Raw genomic sequence first — 6,713 nt, 5'->3', positions numbered from 1 at the left:
TTTAGTTCAACCCAATCAATCAGTTTGGTTTTCTACAGCAGTGGTTTTCAAACTTGAGTGCCTCAGAATCCCCTTGGAATATACCCTAAAATACAGATGCCTGGATTCCAGTCCAGGAGTTTCAGATTCAGTAGATCTGGGGTGGGTGCAAGAGTGTGGATTTCTAACAAGTTTGCAGGTGATGCCAATGTTGTAGCTCCTGGGATTACATTTTAGGAACTGCTGCTTTAGCACAACTCTTCTGTTTTTCGTAACTCATATTTACAGTTGAATTGTCTTTATTACTGCTTAGTTCTGTTCCATTTTACTAAGCCTTGCCATATCACTTTGAATATATTCATTTAACATTTAAAATTCGATTCTGAAATATTAATTCAATTTTGTACAATATAATCTATCCAGGAGTTTTGCTTTTCTGTTTTTATATATACAGTATTTTTACATATACATATGTGTGTATAAGTGCACATATATTTAAGTGTATACTTATACTGAAATATAAATATCAATGTACATATACACATATGTTCTCCTCTTCTGTAGTGTTTTCCCGGGGAGTATCCACAAAGTGTGCCTGTGTGAAGAGATAAGAGCAGGTCCCAGCCTGTACCCCTCTGGGGGATTTTAGAGAATAGATTAGGTGGCTGCATCTAAAAAAAAAAAATAATCCTGAAACTCTGAGAGGGACAACTCTCTATTTGCCACCTCACCACCAGATAACCTTCCTATACCTCTTCCCAGAGCATGGATCTCATTTCCATGCTCCTGGTAAACACCTGTCACCCAGGTGTGAGGGACAGGGGGTGGGAGGAGAGAATTCTCGGGAGCTGTAGATCTGATTGAGCTTGGTATCGCCATCTCTCCCTTTAGCCCTGTCTAAGTCCGATACTGATGCCTGACATCCAGCCTGGGCCTTCACCGATGATGCCACCTCCTTGTAGAGTGACATGGCAGGAAATGACTCATTCAGGTAATGGGGTAAGAGGAAAGTGTACCATAGAATTCCCTCTCTCATTCTGATTGCTTTCTCTCGGGTCTGTTTCCTACCCACTCTGAGATGCATCTGTTTCTGGGAGTGTTTGTCTTAGTGCCAGATCGAGGCACTTCTTACTCCAAGTAGCGTTTCAGGGGGAAAGATCTACCAGCTCACTTTTACTCATCATCTTGCTAACAGCTGCAGCCTGTCCATCAACCTCCACACATCCAGCTCCCTCGTCCCTCCTCTCCAAGCCTCCCTTGTTATCTCTTCATTTGTCTTCCATTCATTATTTTTAACTCTTCATTCTTAGAAGTCATATTTTTAGTCCTTTTTAAGAAGAAACAATGCTTTCTAAAATTTTCCAGTTTTCTGTAGCAAATCAGTTTTGCTCTTTGACTAGGAATTTGAGACAATGTTCTATTTATCTGAAGGTTTCTCATGATCCATGTCACACATTTGAAAGCAACGTGTACTACATTGCACATGCATGTTTATAGGAGCACAATTCACAATTGAAAAATGTGGAACCAGCCCAAATGTCCTTTAGTCAATGAGTGGATAAAGAAATTGTGGTATATACATACGATGGACTACTACTCAGCCTAACTCAATATCTTCTAAGAATCTGAGTATGTTGGCTATCACATTATCTTAGCTATTTGCTGTTCACTTGGTTTGTAGCTAAAATTTCTTCTTAGTGCTTTGTGGGACGTTGCTTGTCCAGATTCCCAGAAAATTCTGTGACTGCTGAACTGAGGAGAGATTTTTTAGTCACTCTGATGCCTGTTTTTCTACAATATCAAATGAGTGACATACATGAAAATCCAAGACTTCTCTCATTTTCTGCAGTCAGAGTCTCAGCTGTCATCACAGCAGCTTGGCTTCTTCTATCACAACTTCTCACTCTCTTCCGTACCAGGCACCTCTCACAAACTTCCTGTGTTATTAAATGCTATCTTCTGAGAGTTTCAGTCTATGAAGACATATGTAAAGGAGATGTGTGCATAAAAGAAAAGGAAATAGTGTTCTTGCTTCTGGAAAATCAGTAGCTATATCAAACAAAAATGACTGAGCTCATTTTTGTTGGCTTAGCAGCCTAGTTATTGATTCAGGTGTTGCAACAGTCACAACAGATTAGGTCATGATGCACTAGCAAAGAACTCAAAATATCAGTGACTTCAAACAAGGAAGCTTCATGTTATATGGAATAGTCCATTTGCGAAAACATAATAATTTGTCATCTGTGATAATTCTCCTCCCTGTATCCATACCCTGAGGTAATCCTCTCACACAATGGCTCTGGGCTTGGTCATATAAAAATTGTTTTGATCAATGAGACATTAGGAAATGGGATTCAAGTGGATTCTTGAGAAGTGGATAAGCACATGTTCTCTGGAGTTCTTAGACCATTGTATGAAGAAACCCAAGTGAGCCTGCTAAAGATTGAGAAACCACATGGAAGAAACACAAACTGCCACAACAGAAGCTCATAAAGACTAACCAGCCTTCCAACCACCAGTGATCTGAATGAAGTTATCCTTAATCAACCTGTTGAGAGCAGACTTGCCAACTGACTATAGGCCATGAGAGAACTTTGCAGCGATAAGCAAAGCTGGTTCAGACCAGAAGAATTACAGTGATGATCCACAGACATGTGAGTAAATAAAATGGTTGCCATTTTTGGCCAGTAAGTTTTAGGTTGGTTTGTTACCCAGTAAGATTTAACTGAAAAGGAAGAGTGAAAGAAAGAACAAAAGGAAGGAAGGAAGGAAGGAAGGAAGGAAGGAAGGAAGGAAGGAAAGGAGGGAGGGAGGGGGGGAAGGAGAGAGAGAGAGAACAGAAAAGAAAGGAAAACAAAATAAAAGAGGAAAGAAAAGAAAGGAAAACAAAATAAAAGAGAAAAGAAAAGAACGGCCAGGCATGGTGGCTCACGAGGTCAGGAATTCAAGACCAGCTTGGCCAAAATGGTGAAACCCCATCTCTACTAAAAATACAAAAATTAGCTGGGCCTGTTGGTGTGTGCCTGTAATCCCAGCTACTGGGGAAGCTGAGGCAGGAGAATGGCTTAAATCCAGGAGGTGGAGGTTGCAGTGAGCAGAGATCGTGCCACTGCACTCTGGCCTGGGTGACAGAGCAAGACTCCACTAAAACAAACAAACAAACAAAAAACACCAACTTTGGGAGGCCGAGGCAGGCGGATCTCCTGAGGTCGGGAGTTCAAGACCAGCCTGACCAACACGAACAAACCTTGTCTCTACTAAAATACAAAAAAATTAGCTGGGCATGGTGGTGCACACCTGTAATCCCAGCTACTTGGGAGGCTGAGGCAGGATAATTGCTTGAACCCGTGAGGCAGTGGTTGCGGTGAGCTGAGATCGTGCCATTGCACCCCAGCCTGGACAAGCCCGTCTCTAAATACATAAGAGAAAGAAAGAAAGAAAGGAGAGAGAGAGAATGGATGAAAGAAAGAGAGAGAAAGAAACTATCCAGAAAAGCTACACATTCATTTGAAGACATAACCACTCTTTTCACCACTCTTTTCTTTTCCTTTTTTTTTTTTTTTTTTTGAAATGGAGTCTTGCTCTTGTTGCCCAGGCTAGAGTGCACTGGCGTGGTCTCGGCTCACCTCAACCTCTGCCTCCCGGGTTCAAGCACTTCTCCTGCCCCAGCCTCCCAAGTAGCTGGGATTACAGGCATGCGCCACCATGCCCAGCTAATTTTGTATTTTTAGTAGAGACGGGGTTTCTCCATGTTGGTCAGGCAGGTCTTGAACTCCCGACCTCAGGTGATCCACCCGCCTCAGCCTCCCAAAGTGTTGGGATTCCAGGCATGAGCCACTGCGCCCGGCCTCATTATTTTATATTGTTAACCTACTTTCTCATGGCTAGTATCACCCAGACATTTAAAGGTATGTAATGTAAAGACTGCATTATAGAAATTTCAAAAAGTATTCTCTAAGTGCACCATGAGCACTCCTGAATGTACTTTAGGAATTAAATATTTTTGATTAAATTAAATAATGTTTTCAATAATTCCCTGGCCATGTGTGAAATACACATTAGGAGAAAAATTATATTAATATTAAAATGCCAACAGAATTTAAAATTTTAGTCTCATCATAATTTTACCCCAGTGGTATTTGTTCTCATTAATTATAACACCCGTCTGGGTAATGAAAACGCCATCTCCACTTCTAAAGAAATTCCAGCATAACTGCCTTAACTACTGCTCCTTTAAAGCATGCCAAAGCTTGTGTTGATCAAATAAAGAATGGTCCACATGGACACTACAAAGCAGCATGAAAATTGCCTTGAGAAGCATAAGTTAGTTACTAAATCCTAAAAACCTTCAGTAAACATGAACGAATGTTATAAATCTGTGTGTGTGTGTATATATGTATATATGTATACATATATTTGTCTAACAATTTTCTTTTCAAATTCTCTTGTCAATGTAGAGTGGAAATTGAGTTTTAATGCATGCATCTCACGGGTACTTGGAAGGTGGGATGGAGGGAGTAGTGGCAGCCTACTTCCAAAATCTTTTAGAATTCCAAATTTTAGAAATTCAAATAAGTTTAAATAAATTGACATCATTATGAATCAGCATTAAGTCTCATTAGAAATATAAACAAAGTTACCACTTCAGTAAGAATAATGACAGCAGGAGATAACTCTTTTAAACAGAAAGCAAAACTCTTATCTAAATACTCAAGAAATAGCAATCTGACACATAACTTTTACATTCTTATACGAATGTTTATACAAGTAATTATAAAGCAATTTGGACTTTCAGGTTGAGAACTGTTCAATAGTATCCCCTTTACTCCTGTCACTAGTATTCTCTTCATTCAAACCATTAAATGTTTGCTTTATATTATAGCAATACAAGTGAACTTTTAAATGTTTTTATTTTTAATTTTTATCAGTACATTATAGGTGTATATATTTGTGGGATACATGAGATACTTTGATACAAGCATGCAATGCATAATAATCACATCATGAAATATGGGGTACCTGTCTCCTCCTCAAGCATTTATCTTTTGTGTTACAAACAATCCAGTTATACTTAGTTATTATAAAATGCACAATTAAATGATTATTGATTATAGCCAACCTGCTGTGTTATCGAATGCTAGGTCTTATTCATTCTTTCTATTTTTTTATACCCATTAACCATTATCACTTTCACCCCTCTCCTTCTACCTTTCCCAGCCTCCGGTGACCATCCTTCTAGTCTCTATCTCCATGAGTTTATTGTTTTTATTTTAGCTCCCACAAGTAAGTGAGATCATGTGAAGTTTGCCTTTCTGTGCCTGATTTATTTCACTTAACATAATGACCTCCAGTTTCTTCCCCGTTGTTGCAAGTGACGGGATCTTACTTTGTTCATGGTTGATTAGTACTCCCGTGTGTATATGTACCACATTTTTTTTTATTTATTCATCTATTGATGGACATTTAGTTTGCTTTGAAATCTTAACTATTGTGAATAGTGCTGCAACAAACATGGGCATGCAGATATCTGTTTGATATATTGATTTCCTTTTTGGGTGGTATATACCCAGCAACAGGATTGCTGGGCCATATTGTACTTCTATGTTAAGTTTTTTGAGGAATTCCAAACTCTTCTCCGTAGTGGCTGTACTAATTTATATTACTACCAACAGTGTATGAGAATTCCCTTTTCTCCACATCCTCACCAGCATTTGTTATTGCCTATCCTTTGGATAAAAGCCATTTTAACTGAAATGAGACAATATCTCATTATAGTTCTGATTTGCATTTCTCTGATGATCAATGATGCTAAGCATCTTTTCATATGCTGTTTGCCATTTGTATGTCTTCTTTTGAGAAATATGTATTAAATCTTTTGTTCACTTTTAATCAGATTAGAGTTTTTCCTATAGAGTTGTTTGAGCTCCTTATTCTGGTTGTTAATCCCTTGTCAGATAGGGAGTTTGCAAATATTTTGTCCCATTCTGTGTGTTGTCCCTTCACTTTGTTGATTGTTTCCTTTGCTGTGCAAAAGCAAACAAACATTTATTGAACACTTACTCTGTGCTTTATTCTAAGCATTTTGTAATGTATTTGAAATGAACATCATCATATGGACACCTCAGTTAGGTAGATACTATACTCTTTCTCATTTTATATATGAGGAAATTGAGGCACCAAGAAATTTAACAATTAGCCCAGTTATTCAGCCAATAGATGAGGAAGCCTTGGAGATACGATAGCTGAAAGTTTGATTCATGCATCAGGTCCTTAAGCACTACACAGTTCAGAAACCAAAGTTTGGATGCAGTTGAAACCATTGAGCATACCAATGTATGACTTAGGACAAGACAACCACCTCCCGGAAATGTAATCATCCCCACATCTACAAATTAAGAATGGGATAATCTGAACTCCATGGCCCATCTAGCACTAATGTGAGATAACCTCAATGTATTCTGTCTGTGCGCACTGAGAGTGGGCAAGTCTCCATGGGCAATGACCATGGCTGTGGCCCAGCCTCTTCTTCACTGGGAATATAGACATATACTGTCCAGTAGGGCAGCCACTAGCCACATGGCCTATTGAGCACTTGAAGTGTGTCTAGTCTGATTGAGATGTGAGGTGAATGTAAAATACATGCCAAATTAGAAAAGACACATTACCAAAAAAAACAAAAAACAAAAAAAACACACTTTAGTAACATTTTAATATTGATTATATAGTGAAATAAT

The 6,713-nt window shown here is 38.7% G+C and overlaps 1 annotated feature.

The window, feature by feature from the left end:
• Nucleotides 334-1,533: an enhancer, noted in NCBI's record as "BRD4-independent group 4 enhancer chr20:6593736-6594935 (GRCh37/hg19 assembly coordinates)". NCBI's record gives its function as "activates an origin of replication core promoter dependent on BRD2, P300/CBP, MED14 and CDK7 cofactors, and independent of BRD4, by STARR-seq in HCT116 cells {active_cell/tissue: HCT116}" and the evidence as "EXISTENCE:reporter gene assay evidence [ECO:0000049][PMID:35650434]".

The sequence above is a fragment of the Homo sapiens genome, chromosome 20, assembly GCF_000001405.40.
Source record: "Homo sapiens chromosome 20, GRCh38.p14 Primary Assembly".
In the NCBI taxonomy this organism is placed as follows: Eukaryota; Metazoa; Chordata; class Mammalia; order Primates; family Hominidae; genus Homo; species Homo sapiens.
Note: the sequence above shows the minus strand (reverse complement) of the source record. Positions and strands in the feature narration are given on the sequence as shown.